Genomic DNA, 24,694 nt, shown 5'->3' with positions numbered 1-24,694 from the left:
GTGTGAGTTTTTGACTTAAAGTGTATTTTGTCTGATACAAGAATACCCAATCCTGTTGTCTTTTCATTGCAGAAATATCTTTTTCCATCCCATTTTCAGCCTATGTGTGTCCATAAAGTGTGTTCCTTGTAGGCAGTGTATAGCTGGATTTTTTTTTATCCATTCGGCTACCCTATATATTTTAATGGGAGCAGTTAACCCATTTACATTTAAAGTAAATATTGACAGGTAAGGACCTATTATTGACATTTTGTTAATTATTTACTGACTGTTCTGTAATTTCTTTCCTCCCTTCTTTCTCTCTTCCTGTCTTATTTTGTGATTTGATGATTTTTGTAGTGGTATGCTTTGATTCCTTTATATCTTTTGTGTATCGACTACAGGTTTGTCTTTTGTAATTATCATGAGTCTTATGTAAAACAAACCATGAAAGACCCCAAAATAGCTAAAACAATCTTTTTCAGGAAGAACAAAGCTGGAAGCATCACACTTCCTGATTTCAAATTGTATTACGAAGCTATAGTAATTAAAACACCATGCTACTGGCATAAAAAACAGACAAATAGAACAATGGAATAGAATACAGACATGAGAAATTAACCCATACATGTATGGTCAGCTAATTTTTGACAAGGGCTCCAAGAATACACAATGGGGAAAGGGAAGTCTCTTCAATAAATGGTATTGGGAATATTGGATCACACAAAACAATCTGTTTTAAGTTAATAACAACTTGATTTCAATCACATACAAAAATTACCTGTTCACTCCCATGTGCTTTTTCTTATTAGAGTCACAATTTACATCTTTTCTATTTATATCTATTAGCAAATTATTTTAACTATAGTTATTTTTAATACTTTTGTATTTTAACTTTTATATTAGAGTTCAATATGATTTACATATCACCATTACGGTATTCTGATTTTGAAAATGAACTTATCTCTACCAGTGAGTTTTATACCTTCATATATTTTCACGTTGCTGATTAGTGTCTTTCAATTTCATTTTGAAGAAATCCCTTTTGCGTTTCTTATAGGGCAGTTCTAGTGGTTATAAATTTCCCAGCTTTTACCTTTCTGGGAAAGTCTTTGTTCTTCATTTCTGGAGAACAGCTTTGACAGGTATAGTATTCTTGGTTAGCACATTTTTTTCTTTGGCACTTTGAATATATTATCCCACTCTCTCCTGGTCTGTAAGAGTTCTGATGAGAAATCTACTGATAGCCTTTTGAAGGTAACCTTGTATGTAACAAGTTGCTTTTCTCTTGCTGCTTTCAAAATTCTTTGTTTTAGAATTTGACAATTTGATCATAATGCTTTTCTATGAAGACCTCTTTTTACTCAACCTCTTTAGAATCCTTTGGGCTTCCTGGATCTGTATGTTTGTTTCACTCTACAGGGTTGGAAAGTTTTCTGTCATTATATCATTAAGAAAGCTTTCTTCCCCTTTATTTTTCTCTACTACTTCTTAAACACCAGTGTTTATATGGGTTCACTTGATAGTGTCCTGTAAGTCCCATAGGATTTTAAAAACCGTTTTTTATTATTTTTTTGTGTGCTTGTTCCTCTACTGGATAATTTCAAATAATCTGTCTTTGAGTTCTTTGATGTTATTCTGCTTGATCAAGTTTGCTGTTGAAACTCTCCATTAAATTTTTCAGTTAAGTCATTGTATTCTTTAGCTCCATAATTTTTGTTTGGTTCTTTCTTTTGGTTTCTTATGGTTGAATGTCTCATTTTATTAATATATTTTTAAAAATTTAATTTAGTAGTTTATCTATACTCCCTTGTAGCTCACTGAGCTTTAAGATGGCTATTTTGAATTCTTTGTCAGCTAATTTGTAAGTCTTAATTTCTTTGGGGTCAGCCACTAGAGCTGTATTTTGTTCCTTTGGTGATGTCATATTTTCTTGAATCTTCATGTTCTTGAATTTTTGAATTTTTTTTTTGATTATTCATTCTCTTGAATTTTTAAAAAGATGTCTTAAAATTTGAAGAAGTAGTCACCTTCTCCAGTATTTACTGACTGGCTTTGGGCCAGAAGGATCTTCACCAGTGAACCGGGTTAGAGATTCTGGGAGTCTCTCAGAACTTTTCTATGGATGCACCTGCTCCATTCTTCTTATTCCTTATTAAGAAAGAAATCTTAGGATTGTGTGCCTTCTCTCTATCCAACAAAACCAGGCCTGGTACTGATAGCATTCAATTTATATTCCCTAAGGCAATGCCCTGAAGTACTGAACGTTGTATACCTTCTCCCTCACCAGTAGTGTCAAGCCAGATGCTAATATTTGTACATGTTGAGATCTGTGTGCTATCTGAAGGAGCTTGTGCAGGCCATGCACAGGGATGTACAAGGTGCTTTCCATAGGAAAGGGTGGCACAGGGTGCTGGGGAAGTTCATCAGTTGGTTGTGGGGGTCCTCAGGCAAGTCATCCTGTGGGGTTCAGTGGTGGGTCTCTTGGTGGAGTCTATGAGCTGATTAGTAGAGACTGTGACTGGCTGTAGAGAATTGGACACCAGTTGTTGTGCACTCTCTTCTCCCTGCTCCTAGGCTTATTCCTTCAGTGCTCTGGGTGAAGTGAGACAGAAAGGACCTCCCAGCTAGCTAACATTTCACAAGACCGCAAAAATTAGGCACACACATCACTCACTTTCCCTAGTAGTAGAAATTGCAGGCCAATCAGGCCTCTGTTGATACCAAGTTGTGCCACCTTGAGGGAGGGGTGACATTGGTAAAGTGAAACTACTTATCCTCTTTAATATTTTTACTCTTGGGTTTTTTGTTCCACAGTAGGGCTGGAAACTCAGCCAGATTCTGGGGCTCCCACAAAAATATTCATGTCCATGGGTGCTTGCCAATATTGGTGTTTCTGTGGAAATGAGAGCCAAAACCTCCTATTCTGCCATCTTGCTGATACCATTTCTGCCCTTTTTCCTCTCAATTTGTAGAGTTGGCTTTGACATTTATCAAGTTAATATAAATAAACTGGTATGTTTCTGAGCAATATATGGTATTCCAATTGACTTCTTTTCCTCTCCCTAAGGAATATAAGTTTCTGTTTGTTTAAACTTATGGTTTTGGCCAGGCACGGTGGCTCATTCCTGTAATCCCAGCACTTTGGGAGGCTGGGGCAGGCGGATCTCTTGAGGTCAGGAGTTTGAGACCAAACTGGCCAACATGGCAAAACCCCATCTCTACCAAAAATACAAAAATTAGTCAGGTTTGGTAGTGCACGCCTGTAATGCCAGCTACTCAGAAGGCTGAGGCACAAGAATCGCTTGAACCTGGGAGGTGGAAGTTGCAGTAAGCCGACATCATGCCACTTCACTCCAGCCTGGGTGACAGAGTGAGACCCTGTCTCAAAAAAAAAATAAATAAACATATGGTTTTATAACATATTTTAATATCTGCTATGATACACCAACCTCACCCACTTTCGATCGTATTCTTCAAAATTTCAAAATTTACATGGCAATTCAGTCTTATTTTTCCAAATGTATTTTTAAAATGTTTGTTGAAATTCTTCAAAGCATTCTTTTCTTACATATTTTGAAATATACTTGTCAAAGGTGTAAAAGTTTCTACTGGCATTTTATTTTAAACTGTACTGAATTTTTAGACTAAATTTTGGGGAAATTGACATTTTTATCATATTGAGTCACCTCATTCATGCATGTAACAGATCTCTTCACTTATTTATACCTATTATTTGTTTTTCTATTTTTTTTTTACAATTTTGTCAAGAACGGTCTTAAGCATTCTTTTTTAGGTTAATTCTTAAATACTTTTATCACCTTGTGACTGTGTGAGTCAATACTCCTTAATAAACTCCCTTTGATATATGCATCTATCTTATTAGTCCTGTCCCTCTAGAGAACCCGAATACACCTAGTAATGGATATTTACAAACAAATAAGCAAAAAGCTGCTGCAAAATTTTGCATAATAGAACTCTTGAAAGCTTTCTCTTTGAAATCAAGAAAAGACAAATATGCCTACTGATGCAGTTTGGATGTTTGACATCTCAACAGGTCTCATGTTGAAATTTGACCCCCAATGCTAAAGGTGGGGCCTGATGGGAGGTATTTGGATTGTGGGCTTGGAGGAAGGAAGTCCCAGTCTCAAACCCTCAAAAGTAGGGAAGCTGACAGTGCAGCCTTCAGTCTGTGGCTGAAGGCCCAAGTGCCCCTGGCAAACCACTGGTGTGGGTCCAGGAGTCCAAAAGCTGCAGAACTTGGAGACTAATGTTCAAGGGCAGGAAGCATCCAGCACAGGAGAAAGATGGAGGCCAGAAGACTTAGCCAGTCTAGTCCTTCCACATTCCTCTGCCTGCTTTTATCCTAGCCACATTGGCAGCTGATTAAATGGTGCCCACCCAGATTGATGGTTGGTCTGCCTCTCCCAGTCACTGACTCAAATGTTAATCTCTCGTTTGGCAACATTCTCACAGACACGCTCAGGAACAATATTTTGAATCCTTCAATCCAATCAAGTTGACACTCAGTATTAACCATCACACTAGGTTAAAGAGATTCTCTTCTATTCTTAGTCAGCCATGAGTATTATCATGCCTGGATGGTGAATTTTCTTCAGAGCCTTTTTCTTCACTTAGGTAGAAGATCAAATGCTATTTCTCTTTTAATCTGCTAATACGGTGAATTACATTAATTGATTTCTTAAGTGAAAACAATCTTGCATTTTTGGGATTAAACCCAACTTAGATACAATATATTATCTTTTTCATATATTAATGGATCTATTTTGCTAATATTTTATGGATTTCATATCTATTATGTGTTACATAAGATGCCATTATTTTATATGTCACTATGAAAGAACAAAAAACTGTCAATGAAACTATGACATAACACTTTAAAAAAAATTATCAGTCAAGGTCCAACAAGTGTAGCAGTATCCACAGGTGTTTTATTAATATATAATATATACACATATATATATACGATTAATGTTTCTCTATGATTTATTACAAGGAATTGGCTTACACAATTGATATATAAGCTGGCTAAGGAAGTTCACAGTCAGTAGTGCAGGCTGTCAGGAAGAGAACATCATGGGCACAGGGTAAAGTTACTCTCCACAAGTGACAGTTTCTTCTCTCTCACTTACACACACACCTCCGACTAGTTTTCTGGCCTTCTAGTGGATTGAATCATGCCTTCCCAGGTTATGGAGGATAGTCTCCCTTAGTTAACCACTTTGATTATGGACTTTCATGACATCTGTAAACTCACAGCAGTGCCTAGATTTGTATTTGATTAAATAACTGTGATTTACAGCCTAGCCAAATTGACACATTGACAAAACCTTTTCAATTTTTTTGCTAATAAAATTGCATCTTATTTCTTTTTGATTATTGTTAATGAAGAGGTATGTTCATTTTTGTAAGATGATTTTGTATCTGAATCATTTTCTAAATTCTTATATTCTGATAGTTGGTCATGGAGTTAGTTTGGCGTTCTCTGTTGATGATGATATATAATCTGAAAATAATTCCATTTGATCATATTATCTGCAAATAAGTCTAGTTAACAATCTTCATTGTATCTCTTATCTTATGGCATTGACCAGTACATCCAGTGATATGTTAATTAGTGGCATTCATATCAAGTGGCCTTGATCATTCTCTGATACTGGTGGGACTAAGTCTAAAATTCCACTATAAACAGGATGTTTGCTTTATTATAAATCCTTTAAGGATGTTTCCTTCCATTCCTTTTTTTTTATGTTTTTAAAAATTATAACTAGGTTTTGAACTTTATGAAACATTTCTTTGGTGCCAATTGAGAAAACCATGATAGCAACCCACTAGTGTGTGAATTATACTTATTGATTTGTTAATGTTAACTATACTTTTAGGGTTTTTCTATAATAAACCTTAACCTATGTATTATATTTTTTCTATGCTATTTCAGTTGGTTAACACATTTAAAAAAAATAATTCATATCTATGTTATGAGTAACATGGGGTTATAATTTTCTTTTCTAGCCTTATTTGATTTTGAAATTAAAGTTATTGTGACTTCATAAAATGTTTTAGATAACTTTTCTTCCTTTTGTACTTCCTAGAATTATTTTTCTAAGACAGGAGTTATCTGTCCCTTCAAAGTTGGCAGCACTTCCTTGTAAAATGTTTTGGTCCAGGACCTTTTTGTAGTTCCACTGTAATGTGTCATATGATAAATAGGAAATTATCCTTCTTTTACAGTGAATTTTTAATAAATATAAACCCAAATATTTGATGTTACAAAGGGAATAAGATACCATTTAGCTATAGACTAATAATTAAGATGATAATTATTACATTCCATATACTTTTGAGTCGGTCTATCTAATAGGTTATACAGAAATATGTACAAGAGACAGCACCAGTGTGTTTCATCTTAAGCTCTCTCACAATCTCTGCACTTTTTATCCCTTAGGACATACGGGACGGTTATTAAAGTCTCTGTGCTTCATCAGTCTTTCCTTCCTGTTGCTGCACATCATTTTCCACATCACGTTGGTGAGCCTTGAAGCTCAACATCGTATTGCACCTGGCTACAACTGTGAGTATTATGGTGTTTTCTTTTATTGTTTTCTTTTATTTCTTTTATATACGTGCATAATAAAGCTGTGTGTCATCGCACACATAGAAATCTATGCAATAATTAAATTATAAAATTCATGGAAATTTTTGGTCTTTGGCAATGCAGTGTAAATATATATAAAGAAGCTTTGCCATGGAAGATTGGATCATGAGATTAAGTTTATGAATGACTCTTCAGCATGTATTGGAGATCACCTCCTATCTGCATGTAAGACATTTTCATTGAGCTTAACCTAAAATTCAAGAGTTACAGACAGCCCTTGGAGCTTTCATTACAGCGAGTAAAAAAAAAAAAAGGTACAATTTCTAACATGATGAATAGAATATAAAAGTTGAATAATATTATATGAAATTACATGACTATGACATTAATCCTATTACAAAGAACAATGTTAAAATTTCTCATGTTTTTATGGGAAAAATGTAATGACACATGTAGTTTCTTTTCTGAATTGGAAGGTTTTTTTTATTAGTATTTATAGGGAAACAGTATCTCTTAAGCCCCTTATATTTTGAAGTTATGATCTGAAAGAGTCAGTATACATGTTTTATCTAGATAGTATTATCATTTGAAAATTTACCTGTCATTGAATAAATCATACTTCAGTTTTTGTAGGATGTGTGATTGTTACTTGAAAAAACAGAAGCAGTCAAGTAGGTGAAAGCAATTCATATGTTTTCAGTTAAACTAAAGAAACCCTGAGATATTTGAAATAGACTGTAATAACAGTTTTAACTTGTCAGTTTTTCTTTGAGGAACCCATTTGTGGGTTTGAAATTTCCTGGCCTTTCAGAAGCACAAGTACAAGCAAACTTGCTTTTCCCTGTAAAGTAAAAAGGAAATCAAAATTCTTCGTGGATCAAACAGTATTAATTTAAATACAGTGAGGAATCCTTTAGTAAAATTTATATACATAAACTATTATCCCTCACTGCATAACTGTTAGATAGAGAGCTAAAGTTAGTGTTCAATCCAGCCATTTTATTGATTTCAGAGTTCCTTTGATAACAATGCCTATCAAGACGATTTTTTAAGATCTATTTTTAAGGTATGTTGTTTTCTAAAAATTGAAATATAATTCACACACCATAAAATTCACCCATTTAAAATATACAGTTCAGCAGTTTTTTTGTTGTTTTTGTTTTTGTTTTTTTTTTGAGATGGAGTCTCACTCTGTCACCCAGGCTGGAGTGCAGTGGCACAATCTCAGCTCACTGCAAGCTCTGCCTCCCGGGTTCACACCATTCTCCTGCCTCAGCCTCCTGAGTAGCTGGGACTACAGGTGCCTGCCACCATGCCCAGCTATTTATTTTATTTTATTTTTTGTGTTTTTTAGTAGAGACACTGTTTCACCGTGTTAGCCAGTATGGTCTCGATCTCCTGACCTCGTGATCCGCCTGCCTCGGCCTCCCAAAGTGCTGGGATTACAGGCGTGAGCCACCACACCTGGCCACAGTTCAGCAGTTTTTAGTATATTCAAAGGTTGTGCAGCTATCACCACTGTCTAATTCCAAAGCACTATCATCACCCCCAAAGGAAACTCCATGCCCATGAATAATTATTTCTCATTCCCTTCCCAGCCATCTCTAGGCAACCACTAACCTACTTTCTGTCTGTATTAGATTTGTCTATTCAGGACATTTTGTCTATATGCAATTATACAGTCTATGACTTTTGTATATGACTTCCTTAATTTAGCATAAAGTTTTCAAGATTTGTCAATGTTGTAGCATGTATCAATACTTTAACCCTTTTCTTGGCTGTATAATATTCAATTGTTAAAATGCGATTTTAATGTTTGATTAAAAACCACATGTTATCCCATTATTAAAATCTTGATGAAACACAGTGTTTAAATAAGGGTACTTTGGTTATGTTATCTTGATAAAGAGCATTTATTATATTTCACCAGGTTCACATCTTTTGGGACTTAATAGAAATGTTAGCAACAATAATGTTAGTAGTAGTATTATCTTATATGATACAGTGCTTATTAACCAAAAATCATTTGGATATTTCTTAATAAGGTACTCTCAGGACCATAAGGAAGAATCTTATAACTAAAGGTGTTATCCAGATAAAAGGCTTTTTCAAAAATGATGAGTTCTTCATCATTAGAAATATTTCATTATAGGATGCATCACAACTTATCAGATTTTTAAATTTTGAGTTTATATATATATATATATATGTAACTTATTCATGTCTGCAAAAAAATTTAGGTTGCTGAGTAATATAGGAAGGTGGCTGGAGGGTGGAAGTGAAATTTATGATCTCTTCTGACTCACAAGAGTCTAAGTGTTTCTAGTTCAAATTGATGATTTTCCATAATTCTACAAATGTCAAAATAAAAATATGATATGAAATCCTAAAGCAACATTCTTTTCTCTGCATTTATAACTGTAGTTACTCTGTGTTCTCCTCCACAGAGTATAGACAGACAGGCAAGCTTACATACACACACACACACACACACACACACACACACACATATTTGTTCTTGCTTTGGCTCCTTCTTCCCAGGCAAAAAGTCACAATACCTGGACACTTCAGGTGGGACCTCTACTAGTACCATGAAGAAGGGAGTGGTGAAGGGAGGTGATGGTGAAGGGAGGTAGTCATCTCAAGTGTAGTCACAGCTGGCCTCTTGACCTGCCTCTTTCCAGGCCTTCCTTGCCCAACCAGTATTAAGGAGCTAGGTCTGCCTCTCCTAACCTCGCTCCTAAATATATGGGCTTTGATATTTCCAAGTCTCTGTCAAAGACAGTTTTTATTCATACACAAATGCCCTCTGCAGTCATCCTATACTGCAATACAGTTTGAACATGTCAGCATCTAACATAACATCTTCCCTTTCCTTTTTTTTGCTATCCCCAGATGAAAGCTCTACTCTGTTATGAGTCAATTTAATAGAAGTCATAACAGTAAACTTTATTTCCATAAAGTTAAATTCCAATTTGAAGTTTATTTCTGCAAAAGGTTATAGTTCCAATTTCAAGTTCCAGTATTTTTGATGAAGTAACCAATAGAGAAGGGATATGTGAAAGATTGAGTGAAAAAAGAAAAACTTGAGTGTTTTACTTCCAGCCATAGGAAACTTGAAGGTGGGTTTATAGAAATCATAAATTTCTTCTGAAAAACTAGTGATGCCTGTAATCGCATTGGCTCATCAGGTGTTGTAGATTTTTTTGGTTTAGTTTTATGTGTAGCATTTAAAATTAATACATTCTTGAAAAAGGATAAAAGAGAAGAACAAACAAACTTCAGAGCTTTGCAAACTAATTTAGTCCAAGATTGACACAGACCAGGTTTTCAGCCCAGAGCACTTTTTAATGATCAAGTTATATAAACTGAAAATACTGTTAGTGTGGGTAATGGAAACACTGACTTTTAATTTAGAGTTGACTTCACTTCACTAATGTTATTGTTTCTCAAGCATTTAGAGTTATGATTATACCATCAGAGATGTAAACACAACTCAGTCATTTCGATATCCCAAATTTGAAGTTTATCCTTTTTTGGCATCTGCATAGATAACATAGCAAAAGTTCAAATAAAAAGACAAAACCTGTCTTGGTCATCAGTGTTGTACATTTTGAATGTTTTTTGTATGTTCAAGACATTGGTAAATTAAAATTAAAACCCAGACAAGTCGATCATATTCAAGTAGTATTCAAATTCAAGACCACCAAGCGCTCATTTATAGGTGTTAAATTTTGTTTTCCTAACAACTTCTTTCCCCCATTTAAAATGCATACCCTCACCCTCATTATCGCAAAAGGTCCCGGCATCTCTTAGGAATCTGACATAAGTTTTGGTGGGACAACAGTAGCATTTATAAATATTGAGTCATTGAAAGTTCTCGTTCCTCCAGAGTCCTGTGAATATTAACTGGCAGTAATAAAGATTTTTTCAAACCACCCTATTTAGATTTTGACTAGTTGGCAGGTCTGTTAAAGGTGCCGTTGTGCAGAGCTGAAACTTAACAACACTCCCTTCTGCCTTTTTTTTTTCCCCTCATTTCCAGAACAGTGTTCTTATAGGTAAGTGAGGAGTCCATGGGGGCAGGGGACACCTATGTAAATTTTGCTCAAACATATGTTGTGCCGCTTACTAAAATATTTTCATTCCACCAAAACTATGCTACTTAAATAAATGTAAACCCGGTTTCAATTATGTCATTACAGATTACATAGACGTAGTTTGTTTGACTCCGTGTTAGATGTGTGGCGATGTTAGTGAAATTTGAAGGCCAGTCTGGATTCTTGTGCTGTGCTTAAAGCATGCTATTCATTGAAAGAAACTTTTGAGTTAGAAACTATATAGGGAAAATTTGTGATGATAATATCTCCTGTTTATAGAGCATCTATGAACCATGAGACCCTAGGGATTATTCTATTCCTTTTTCAATTAATGACTCCTTCCTTTCTTGTTCCAGGTGAGCTTTGCTGTTCTTTAAGTTAGGCACTCTCTGTATCCAAGCATTGTCCTATTCATTCTCTAAACAAGTCCTCAGGGTGGACAGGGCTGTGCAGCTGGACCCCTGTGCTCTGTGTGCAGGCCCCAGCCTGAGGAGGAGCTGAGCAGGAGATTCCTTCGTCAGGCTCCATCCAGCGGGAAGCAGCGAAATCCTCTGATTTACATCAAGAGGCTGGTCTCCTGGCCAAACCTTGCCACGGAGGGCTATGCCTTTGTGTAGTCTCTTTTCTCCAAGAGGGTGCCCTTTTTCTGTATAAACGCAGTGCCCAACCTGCAGATAGTGCTGAGGTAGGGATTGCAATGAAGAAACGGGCTCTAGAGGGCAAATGAGTTGCATGAAACCATTGCATGTCTCAGCTGGAGTCTGAGCACGGATCTGTCTGGCTTTCCATTCTTCCCCCATCTTTACGGAGCTCTTTATTCATCGTGTGTGTAAGATTGTTTCCTCCACTGTGGCTCCTAGGACTTTGGATAAGTCTATTTTCAAAGGGCTAAAATTAGCGTTTCTGATACTTAGTCCATGACTTTCCCTTGCTTGGATATTTGTCCTTATAATTAACTGAATATTTTCTTTGCTTCCTTCAATGGCAGCATTCCTGGTTGGATTCAGCTTCCCCCAAAGGTTAGCCCCCTCAGATGCATTGCTCTTTCCCCCTGTGGGAGGAGGGGCATCTAGAGTTTCATCTTTTCTCTTTTTACAAGCACATGAAACTTGGTCCAGAAGCCCACCAACCAAGAAATTAGGATGGGCCTCAGTAATGTTTTTTCCTGACATGCTTCTATCCTTGAAACACACAAGGCTCCCAGTGCCAAGAATCAAGGTATCAAGCGTCGGCCTACGACAAGAAGACTGAGGGACAGACCCAGCCTGGCAGTTTATCCTCCCATCCCGACGACTGTGGGGAGGACTACAGAGTGAGCCACTGCTGTGTATACTCTGCTTGCCAGTACAAGTGCTGACTCATCCCTTGGCACACAAAGCTGTAAACTTCACCCCATGCTTCGTTAGTTGTGCTAATTGGAGATGGACCCTAGATCTGCAGAATCACCTGGTGGATCCATCCTCATACAAATAATTCCATTCTCACACAAATGAAATTCTTGATGTTAATTTTTCATATTTGAGACAGTACCCTGGAGAAAAGAGCTAATAAGTACGAAATGGGAGACAAAATATATAAAAGCAAACTCACACCCTGCATGTTCTGAGTCATTTTTTGAAACCACTCTTGGCTGCCTGCTTTCTTCTGATAGCTGATCAGTGAGGAGGCTTGGGTTCCTCACCTTGCCCCGTCCCCTTCTCTTTCCATTCCCTAACTCATTCAGGCACAACACACAGCCTTCTTCTCTCCTCGGGCCAGCTTCCTGAAAGCAGATGTTGCCGCTCAATACAACAATTTAAAAAACTGGTCCAAGCTATATCTTTACTTCTGGCCACCTGTGCATCAAAAGATTAGGAATCCATTGTCTAATTTATCTGAAAAGTATGTGGATCATATATATACCTTCTGATCATGTATAGGAGAACTTTGCCTTAAGTGCTGTTTTCTTCCACCCCTGGTGATTGAGGCACTGCCTCACGGAGACATATGCCGACCTAGATGGAGACTGCTGCTCTCCATAGTGAGCAAAGACACATTTATGATCAGTAGATTCTGGATGGAAGCATTGCTGAAAGAGAACTTTTGTAGCCCAATATCTGATGGAGTCAACGCTCTTGGAGTAATGAATACACATTGTTTTTACTGCCAAAAGCTAGACACAGGCACGAAGGCGAGCTGAGTGGTAGCACTGCATGACACCCACCCGTATGAACAACCCTTAGGCCAATGCCGTGTTGATATTTTGATTCACCTTTAGTAATAGATATGGATGCTCACTTTATGCAGCAGTTTTCAAATAGAATATCTCATTTTATCCTGACAAATATTTTTCATGACAATTTTTATGCTATTTAATATATGAGAAAATTTAGGATCTTGGGTGACTGTGAGCTAGTTGCATATCGTATTACTGGTGGGGAAAGTGAGTCCCAGTGTGCCTCAGTTTCCTCAACTGTCAAAGGAAGATAACAGCTATCATCTCATAGGTTTTTGTGAGGTTCGAGTTAATATAGGCCATGCCCTTGGGACTGTGCTTGACCCATTGTAAGTGGTCAAATAGTACAAGCTGTTGTTCATGTTGTTGCTGTTATTAGAGAAGTCCTAATTCTTGCCCAAGGTCATACACTGCTACAAGGTAATAGAGGCAACTCCAAACCAAATCCTGTCTCCAAATTACGCACAGTCACATGGATGAAATTTGGAAATTACAGAACTTGCATGGTACCAAATCATTCTCTATGATAGTCTTTTTCAGTTTCTTGCCAATGCTGTTATATTGGGGTTTGTACCTACTCTACTCCATGTGGTTAGAATCCCAAATAAATGGGCTAAATGGCACTGGATGGAAGGCAGCATCAGTGATGTGTGTCTTTAGTGACCCTGAGTTTTTCTTCCAGAATTTTTCACCTTCTTAGCAACCTCTCCACCGCAGTCTCTCACTCCACCTGCCCCACAGCTGCAGCCTTGGGCCTGGCCTGGCCTTCCGAATATTTTATGGCCCTCTTCTCATTCCGGCACCTACCTGAAAGCTTGTCATCTGCTCCCATGACCTGCAGCTCAGAGGAATAGATAATAAATATATTATTCACTATTTATTACCTTTCCTACATTGTAGAACTTTAGAAGAAAGAGGAACATGATGGAAGAGTTAGGAGGAAAATGAACTAACATTTTCATGTAAACTAAACTAACACTCTGCTGCTATTATCTCTCTCTCTCTTTTTTTTTTTTTTTTTTTGAGGCGGAGTCTCGCTCTGTCACCCAGGCTGGGTGTATTTTTAGTAGAGATAGGGTTTCACCATGTTGGCCAGGCTGATCTCAAACTCTTGACCTCAAGTGATCTACCCACCTCGGCCTCCCAAAGTGCTGGGATCACAGGTGTGAGCCACCGCACCCAGCTGCCATTGTTATCTAATTCTTACCATATCTCTTAAAAGTGTTGGCTTTCACTATCGTATTACTGGTAGGGAAAGTGAGTCCCAGAGGCAAAAAGTGCCTCGCCTTAGGCTGCTCATTAGTGAGTAACAGAGCCAGAATTAAATTTAGGTCTCCTGGACTACACAGTCTGTACTCTTTCCAGTACACCCTGCACCTTCATACATGTGCTGGGGAAAATTTTATGCAGAATTGGACTTTGGTTAATTAGATTTTGAGGAATAGATATGATTAGGATACATAAATTTTGGAGGCTGTGCTGGGTGAGAGGATAGTTAATCTAATATACTAACTCTGGTTAAAGTATGAATGGCCGGAAGTGACTGTATATGCTTGACTTGGTAAATGATATTGGCCTTTAGGAATATCTTCACCCCTACGAGTGCATCATGGGGACAGTCGGGACTGCATGGCTGAGGAGCTGGGTGTGCATTCATCATTGGGGATATGTTTTCCCAGCCTCCTTGAACCCACCGTCCCTACCACCTCCTCCAAGTGGGTCCTGTCACAGCCTTGTGTCAACTTGTTAATAACCAAGGTCTCCTTGTCTAAGATGGTTTTTATCTGTATTTTTAAAGCCTGAGGAAATTGGAGATGTTTTTCCTAAAGATAGAAATAAAACAGTAAATAACAAGAATGTACTGGATGACTCTTGGTGTTCAGAAATTTACTTCCCTGAAGTGTGTGTCGCCCTGAGATTCTAGATCCTGAGGCTGTCGCCAGAATTACACATAGGTAGTCTAATCCATTCTCTACACAGCAGTCTTTCAAAATTTTGAAGATGGCTTTGATGCCACATCAGTATTTTCCCAGATGCCTCTTGAGTCCCTTATCCTCTGCTGTTTGCCAAGCTTGTTGGTCAATGTTCCATGGCTGAGTGGTGAGATAGCATCAGTGTCTGGTCATGGGGAGTCTCCAGGGCCTGATTAATGCCAAGCATCAAGGGGCAGTGACTTTCCTTGTTCTGGTAACTGTCCTTCCCATCGGTGGAAATTGCCGTATTGTGGATTAATGTAGAGCTTTTCTGACCTGAAACATAGATCTGTTTCTTGTGAAACCCTATTTATGTTTCTCTAAAAGCAGATATGCTCCCATCTTTGATTTGGGATTTTGATTCTGCCCATACACAGAGCTTCCTTCCCTACCTTATATCACCTTTATCTCATCCCGTAATAGGGCAAAATTTCTAGAGTTCCTGGCATGGATCAAGTACTCTAACAAGCCTTCCTTTCCTTCCTCTTTCTCCTGACTCACCATATCTCACACCCAGCTGTGTGTGTGTGTGTGTGTGTGTGTGTGTGTGTGTGTGTGTGTGAAACATCTTTTTTGTTCTAAGTTTTGCTCTAAATCAGTAGATAACATCTTCCATGTATAATTTCCCACTATGTTCCAGGCATATTTATAATGTCTTGATTCTGCATTATAGTCCTGCTAGTCCTTGATATTTTACTCATTTGCAGATAAAGAGACTTAGCAAAAACAGAAGAGTTAAGTTGTGAAAAAAAGGAAGAAATGTAGTGATAGCATCCAGGGTCACCCATGGAGGGTGCCGGGGCCCTGGGCACCCGTGTGCATGCAGGGCAATGGGCTCATCTAGACGGGCGAAGAGCTGCAGGAAAGCTGTATTTCTGTACTTCTCCCTACCCCATGGTTCTCATCTCCTCCTTCCCGTTGCCAATTCCAATAAGCTTTCTATTGCCTGGCCATGCCTTTGCCCATGTTATTTCCCTGGAAGAATGTCCTTACGTACTCTGCCAGTCCTCTGCCAGGTCCATTCTTCAATACTGGCCACTTCCTCCAGATAACCCGAGTTAATACCCCCAGGTAGAGGGGGTCAGATGTCTTTGGGCTCCCAAATACCCAGAGTATCAGTCATTAAACTTTTAATGTTGAGTGATAATCACTGATTTTATATGTTCTCCCATTAGAATATGATCAAATTAAGGGTAGAACCTCTCATGTTTCATTTTTTTTTGTAACCTGAGCACTGACCACAGTGGCTGATGTATAGCATACTGCCCAACAATTGAAGAATGAATAAATGAATTAATAGCAGCCAAAAAAAGGAGAAATAAAGGTATGGCAAAGACAAAATTTGATGACTCTCTTGCTTTGTTTTGTGACCGATTCTCGGTGGTGTCCTCACCTGCTGGACCTGCAAGTAAACAATTGAGGAGAGCGGCTAAGTGCACCCATGCCCTCTCTTGGCCAGGAGCTCTGTCCCCTCACTCCTCTCCTACAGGTGCATACCCCAAATCCTGCTCAGATAGTTGTTCCCATTTCTCATCTTTTTAATTCATGAAGAAATATTAGAATGACGTGTTTTATTTCTCTTTAGAAACTATTTATCAATTAAGTTACTTGGTATTTATTTCCTTCGCAAAAAAAAATTTGGATTTCCATTTGGATTTGGGAAAATTAAGACAGAAAACCATAAATGAGAAAGCTAGAGTTAGAAGTGGCAAGGAAGGAAAGAGAAGAAAAGGAGGTGTGGGACTGTGCTTTAACAAGGAGGTCTCAATAAGAAGTGAGGGCAGAAGAGCCCCTAGATGAGTAACAGGGAGTCATGATCCTCACGCCCGTCTGCTCCCCACCATGCCGACCAGTCCTTGCTGTAAGACAAATCACAGAGCAGGAAGTTTAAAATGATTTGGGATTGATTTGGTTTGCTTAAATAACAAATTCTCTAACCTCAGCTTCATGATGCAGCATTTCTAGTGTAAATTATTTACAATAAAAGCACTAACGCAAGTCCGTGTGGTATGGAAGTAAACTCAACCTCAAAATTATAGACGAACAATGTAAAGCTATAACTGTATGTTTCCAAATTTATGGAATATGGAAGGACATTTCAAAGGCATTTGAAAGCAGCAGAATTGGGCTAAGCATAGTAATGACATTCTAGAAAATATTATTTGTATGACATAAGCTTAGTTATTTTTCAGACTTACAAAATTGATGTATATTTTAGGGCTTAGGTAGGTGGATTTATAAATAAAAACCATTTTTTCCTAGAATCAGGAGTTTGGATTTGGACAATTCTTCTTGATTTTGAATATTGAGAATATAATTTAGGCATCTAGAAGCTTGGCAAAGCAGTTGCTAATATAATTTATGCCTTACATTTACTTGAGAGATATTTAAACATTTCATGGTGATTCATGTTGCAGAATATGAGCATAAAAAACATTAATATTATATCAAACGTTAATGTAAAAGTATTATAATGCATTATAAACAACTGTTTTGCATATTGATTTACCATTTATTTTTTGAAAAAAGTATTTTCTTTGCAAATGTGTATCACATTATTGATAATTATTGTTTTAAATATTTTTTCTTTACCTTGCACTTTTATTTAGTATATAATCTCTTATTTTATAAATGGACATAACTCTTGAAGAACCCCAAACTATTGTTAAGAAGTAACACTGGAGAGTAAGATTTGATTGCTGAAGTCTAGCACTTCCCATCAACATACCACCATCATTCTTCACACAGCTAGAAAATATTCCTAAAATTCATATGGAACCAAAAAAGTGTCCACATAGCGAAAGCAAGACTAACCAAAAAGAACAAATCTGGAGGCATCACATTACCTGACTTCAAACTATACTATAAGACCATAGTCATCAAAACAGCATGGTACTGGTATTAAAATAGGCACATAGACTAATGGAATAGACTAGAGAACCCAGAAATAAAGCCAAACGCTTAACAGCTAACTGATCTTTGATAAAGCAAACAAGAACATAAAGTGAGGAAAGGACACCCTGTTTGACAAATGGTGCTGGGATAATTGGCAAACCACAGGTAGAAGAATGAAACTGGATTCTCATCTCTTACCTTATACAAAAATCAACTCAAAATGGATCAAAGACTTAAATCTAAGACCTGAAGCCATAAAAATTCTAGAAGACAACATTGGAAAAACCCTTCTAGCCATTGGCAAAGACTTCATGACCAAGAACCCAAAAGCAAATGCAACAAAAACGAAGATAAATAGATGGGACTTAATTAAACTAAAAAGCTTCTGTACAGCAAAGTAATAATAATAATAATAATAATCAGCAGAGTAAACAGACAACCCACAGAGTGGGAGAAAATCTCCACAATCTACACATCTGACAAAAGACTAATAACCAGAATCTATAAGGAACTCAGACAAATCAGTAAGGAAGCAAAGAATCTCATTTAAAAAGTGGGCTAAGGACATGAATAGACAATTCTCAAAAGAAGATATACAAATGGCCAACAAACATATGAAAAAACGCTCAACATGGCTAATTATCAGTGAAATGCAAATCAAAACCACAGTGTGATACCACTTCAGTCCTACAACAATGGCCATAATAAAAAAAAATAGATGTTGGCATGGATGTGCTAAAAAGGAAACAATTTTACACTGTTGATGGGAATGTAGACTAGTACAACCACTGTGGAAAACAATGTGGAGATTCCTTAAAGAGCTAAAAGTAGGACTACCATTGGATCCAGCAATCCCACCCCTTGGTGCCTACCTAGAGGAAAAGAAGTCATTATATGAAAAAAATGCTTGCACACACATGTTTATAGGAGCACAATTTGTAACTGCAAAAAATATGGAACCAGCCCAAATGCCCATCAGTCAATGAGTGGATAAAGAAAATGTGATATATAGGCCGGGCATGGTGGCTCACACCTGTAATCCCAGCACTTTGGGAGGCCGAGGCAGGTGGATCATGAGGTCAGGAGATTGAGACCAACCTGGCTAACACGGTGAAATCTTGTCTCTACTGAAAATACAAAAAATTAGCTGGGCATCCTGGCATGCGCCTGTAATCCCAGCTACTCAGGAGGCTGAGGCAGGTGAATTGTTTGAACCTGGGAGGCAGAAGTTGCAGTGAGCCGAGATCTCACCACTGCACTTGAGCCTGGGTGACACAGTGAAACTCCATCTCAAAAAAAAAAAAAAAAACAAAAAACAGAGAAAATGTGGTATATATACACATATCATGGAATACTACTCAGCCATAAAAAAGAACAAAATAATGGCATTTGCATCAACCTAGATAGAATTGGAGATCATTCTTCTAAATGAAGTATCTCAGGAATGGGAAACCAAACATTGTATGTTCTCACTCATAAGTGGGAGCTAAGCTATGAGAAAACAAAGGTATAAGAATGATACAATGGACTTTGGGGACTCGGGGGAAAGGGCAGGAGGTGGGTGAGGGATAAAAGACAACACATTGGGTACAGTGTACACTGCTCAGGTGATGGGTGAACCAAAGTCTCAAAAGTCACCACTAAAGAACTTATTCATGTAACCAAACAACATCTGTTTCCCAAAAACCTATAAAAATAAAAAATAATTAAAATTAAATTAAAAAAATAACAGCTACTCCAGTGATTCAATCTGCACTCAATATTGAGGGCTCCTAATGGAAACTATAACAAGAAATGTGGATTTCTCTTATGGGCAATAGAAATAATTTAACAACTTTTATAAAGGAGAGATAAATGTAAAGATTTGTGTTATGAAACAATGCACTCTGGCCATCTGTGTGGAAGAGGGATTGACAGTGGAGAAGACTGGCAGCAGGAAACTGTTGTGCAGGCTGTGGCACTAATCCATCCAGAAGGAATGACAGCTTTAGCTAGGGTGGCGATGATGTAGCAGAGAACTGAAGATGGTGGGGAGATATTAAGGAAGAGTCAAGAGTTTGGAGAATGAATGGCTTAGGAGTGGGCTACTGGGAAGAAGGAAAGACCTAAGATGATGCCCAGATTTCTGGCTTGAGGAGCTGGTGAAGGACTATACCTTCCTGAAACAGGAGCTGATGAATTCCAGCGTGATGGAGGAGGGTTTGGATTGAACTCCAGGTGTCAATGAGGGACCTGGTTGGACACTTTCATTTTTGCATATATATTTTCACATTTTATGTACATTATGATTGGCATTCTGTATTTGTTATTGCATCCATTTCTTTATCCGTTCAGAGCAAACATTTACGGGAATCTGTACCAGACATTATTTTAGCTTTAAAATTCTTTGGTAAAAAAAGTCAAGTATCCTTCCCCTCATGGACCTTATATTTCCCTACATCTGTGTTCCTATGATTGTCATCAAACCTGGGTGAAAAGTAGAACACTTAACTGCTCCATGTCATGTTTCTACATTTCTACATAGTCTTTATAAATACTTCATTTCTGCCATAGTCTTTCCTCATGTTGATAGATAAAAATGTTTCAAATCTTTCCCTGGGTGGTTTTGATTTTTGTCATTCAATATTATGAGCATTTTCACATATAAATCTGTTGTTTATTTCCTTAGGATAAATTTATAACAGTGGATTTATAAGGTCAAAGAATTTGGACGTTATTTTCACACTTTCTAGACTGTACCATATTGTTCATCAACATGCTTGTACTTCTCAGAATACCACTAGCCAAGATAGATAGATAGACAGATGTTTTTTAAAAGAGCACCATAATATTTCAAGCCTCTGAACGCTTTGAGCCTGAGAAATCCTTACTGACAGCCTCACTCCAGTGTACAAATGAGCAAGAAACACATTAAAAATGCCCTACATCATTAGTCATTATGGATGTACAAATCCAAACTGCAATGAGATAAAGTGTTACACTCAATAAGATGGCTATAATAAGAAACAAATGACAAAAAAATAAAGCGTGGCAATAACATGTGTTGACAAGAATGTGGAGAAACTGGAGCTCTCTGCTGGTGGGAATGAAAATCATACACCCAGTGTGGAAAGCAGTTTGGTGGTTCTTCAAAAAATTAAACATAGAACTGCCACATGATCTAACAATTTCACTCAGCCATAAAAGAATTGAAAACACACACAAAAGAATTGGAAACAGGTATTCACACAGATACCTGTTCACAAATGTTCAGAGCAGCACTATTCATGTTATCCATGAATAAGTAGATAAATAGAAAAAATAGATTAGAAATAATCTAAATATCCATTAAAGGATGAATGAAGTTATATATGTATACATAAAAAATATATGAATATTATTCAGCCATAAAACTAAAGTATTGGCAAATGCTATAACATAGAGGAACCTTGAAAACATTATGCTAAGTGAAGGAGCCAGACACCAAGTTCACATACTGTATGACTCCATTTAGATGAAGTATCCAGAATAGGCAAGTCCATAAGGACAGAAAGCAGATTGGTGTTGCCAAGGGCTCTGGGTAGGGTAGAATGGGGCATGATTACTTAATGGGTAGGAGTGTTTCTCTGGATTGATGATGGTGTTCTGGAACTAGTAGGGTGGTAGTTGCATGGCCTGGTGAACAAGTACTGCCATCAGTTTGAGTAATAGCCCTGAATTGCTTACTTTCAAATGGTTAATTGTTTGATATGTGAATTTCACCTTAACAAAGGAGAAAAAAAGTATACCGTATTCACTAAAGTCTCATTAGCATTTCAGTAAAGCTTTTGCTAATTTAGTAGATTTTAAATAACCGAATGCTTTTTTAAAAATAGTGAAGATAAATATTTTTCAATGTGTTTACTATTTGTGTTTATTTCTGTAGAATATTTGCTATTATTCTCTGCAAATATATTTTACAAGGTTGATTTTTAAGAACAGATTTTTGTTAATTGTTACTACATTGAGTTTTTAAAAATATTATAATCCATTGTCCCTATTTTTTCTTATTGCTTCAGTGCTATACACTCAGAATTGATATGTATTGTACTCTATTTTTTGCTCATGTTTATAATTTAAAATGTTTAATCACTTTAATTAATGTGGAGGTTAATTAATCACTTTAATTAATTAATCACTTTAATTAATGTGGAAATTATTTGGTATAGAGACTTTGAAAAGTGGATTTTTTTCCCCAAATGGCTGTTTTTCCATCATCATTGATTGAATAATTCTTCCTTTGATACCCATAGATGAGCTTCACTCATTCACAAGGCAGCCTTCTTTGAGGTCTGGCAGGAAGGTGGTTTCTTGGGAACCTTGTAGAGCCTGTCTCTCTAATACATCTTTTTCTTCTCCTTCTCTTTCTCCACTTTCTACTCCCCCCTCCCACATTCCTTTTTATTGTGAAACTTGAGGTTCTATTTGGAAAAGATTCTGAATAAGTCTGAAAAGACAAAATTCAAGTGGAAAATACAGGTCTTGGAGGACTTCAAAATGCAGATAACAGCCTAAATTAGCATCTACGGAAATACTCAGTCGTCTTCATTTCAGAGTAAGGCATAAACTATGTGTATGTCTTAATACCAAACCATAACACTGACAAATAGCTTTTGTTACGGTAGTATTATTCCATGTGTTTTAAGACTCAGTTTAACCTTAATTTATAGGTGCTCTTTGTCTCTCACTCTACCATGAATTAAGTCAGTAGGAAAAGTACTGCCATCTATTTGGGAGAAACAGAAGATAAATGCAGAAAGTGAATTAAGTTTTTTTCTTATTGTAATCTAATGTAACCGGTTAATGTGGAAAACCATTTTTTAAACTTTTTCCGGATGTTATGCATCTATTCAATGTCTTGACCTTAAATGTGATATGTATTTGGTGAGACCTTTCTATTGTACCTAGGCAGAGATACAGAAACATTGCTTTTAGTCCAGAGAGTAAATGCCACTGTCTTAATAGCTATCTAATATCTCACAGCAAACTGATTCTTTCTAAGAATATTTCTTTCTTTTTTTTTTTTGAGACAACATCTCACCATGTCCTCTGGCTGGAGTGCAGTGGCGCAGTCTCAGCTCACTGCAACCTCCACCTCCCAGGTCCAAGAGATTCTCCTGCCTCAGCCTCCCAAGTAGCTGGAACTACAGAAGCATGCCACCGTGCCCAGCTAATTTTTGTATTTTTAGTAGAGACAAGGTTTCATCATGCTGGCTAGGCTGGTCTTGAACTCCTGACCTCGTGATCCACCCACCTCAGGCTCCCAAAGTGCTGGGATTACAGGCATGAACCACCATACCAGGCCAGATATTTCTATTTAATTTTGACAGGAGGAATGATTCTGGGTATATGTATAGCCCCAGACCAATTTTAGTCTTTTAAAGTTTATGAGATGATAGAGGTGTATGCATTTCACGACAGAATATAGCTTTCAGGGCTGTTAGAACTAATAGCTCAGTGGGAAAAGTCATCCCTCACATTGCTAGCATGGGCTCATAGTATGTGATCACTGGAAAGGGCCTTAGCAGCCATGACCCTTCCATTTAAAGAGGCTAAATGATGGATTTATCTTGGGGATGAAATTACAAATTAAAAAACTGAGATGATACTACGTCTCAGGATGCCTACTGAAAGTTTGCTTATGGAGAAAGTAATTTGTACTTGGTAAGAGGAAAAGTCAAAGAAAGAGGGGCAATGTAGCACAGCTGAATGAGGCAAAAATGCCTGGTCTAGAGCAACATGAAATAAAGTCACCTGAAGTGATGGGACTGTTGATGGGGAAACATCACACCTACAGAGACTGGAGGAAGCTTGGCCATGAACTCTACACCAAGGAGCAAGGAGCGAGCCCTGCGTGCAGCTCCTGGGATCCCAGGCTTTAGGGTTGTCCCCTCACAGGAGTGTTAAGGGACAATTGAGAAAGTGTGGAAGGAAAATGCCAGTTGTGAGTATGAGGCTGTGGGGAGCCGAGGGAGGGCCGTGAGTGACCAGGAAAAGCTGCAGGCAAGCGGAGGGGAGATGCAGAATGGATGGGAGAAGGGCTACGATTGCGTATTTAACCTGTTGCCAGTGTAGCCTGGGATCACCATCGTTTTGCATTATTTTTAAGACTCTTTCATTGAACAGAGCATCTGGAAATAATTCTAATTCAGTGGCAGTTTTGAGGATCAGTAGAATCTCACAACATAAAGAATTTGTTGTCATGCTAATATAGTTGATTACAGTCTGCTTGGAAAAAAAAACTGAACGTTGCGAGAATCAGTGGTGCATTTCTGGATGGCTTTACACAGAGCCCACAGAGTGCAGCAGTTCACCTGAATTTATACACACCCTCCAGGGAAAGCCAACACTCTTCCATGCTGATGCGTATGCTTGTGAGATGTTTTCATTAATGGATCTCTAGGGAAAGTCCTTGTGTCTATTTCTTTGTTATTTGTTTAAATTTGTTTCCTCTTAGATATAAGAGCTATCTAGCTATAATGACTTTAACACTTAAGGTTGGATAAGTGTGGACTTGTATCACTTTTGAAAAAAAAAATCCTTTTTTACTCAACTCAAATTCTCTTTGTGGAGTTGGATTTCCAGCACTGTAAATAGAGTGCAAAACTGCCTTTATTTACTGCTGACTTAAAAGCATACCTGGCTGTGGCATTACAAATGAGAATCTCCTGAGCACTATATTCTATACAAGCTGACTCTTTTTGAAATTTTTTTCTTTTTTTAAAATTTTTATGTTTTTAATTTTATTTTTCCATAAGTTACTGGGGTACATGTGGTATTTGGCTACATGAGTAAGTTATTTAGTGGTGATTTGTGAGATTTTGGTTCACCCATCACCCAAGCAGTATACACTGCACCATATTTGTAGTCTTTTGTCCCTTGCCTCCTCCCACACTTC

The 24,694-nt window shown here is 37.5% G+C and overlaps 1 protein-coding gene across 11 annotated transcripts in view; it reads left to right on the top strand.

Moving 5' to 3' along the window:
- PIEZO2 (piezo type mechanosensitive ion channel component 2) overlaps positions 1 to 24,694 on the top strand; it is a 479,323-nt gene that overhangs the window by 163,464 nt on the left and 291,165 nt on the right. For all 11 annotated transcript variants that reach the window (XM_047437735.1, XM_017025918.3, XM_047437736.1 and 8 more), the window contains exon 3: positions 6,446 to 6,571. In XM_047437735.1, the coding sequence (XP_047293691.1) occupies positions 6,446 to 6,571 (126 nt within the window). The remainder of the gene's footprint in view (positions 1 to 6,445; positions 6,572 to 24,694) is intronic.

The sequence above is a fragment of the Homo sapiens genome, chromosome 18 (assembly GCF_000001405.40).
Source record: "Homo sapiens chromosome 18, GRCh38.p14 Primary Assembly".
Lineage (NCBI taxonomy): Eukaryota > Metazoa > Chordata > Mammalia > Primates > Hominidae > Homo > Homo sapiens.
Note: the sequence above shows the minus strand (reverse complement) of the source record. Positions and strands in the feature narration are given on the sequence as shown.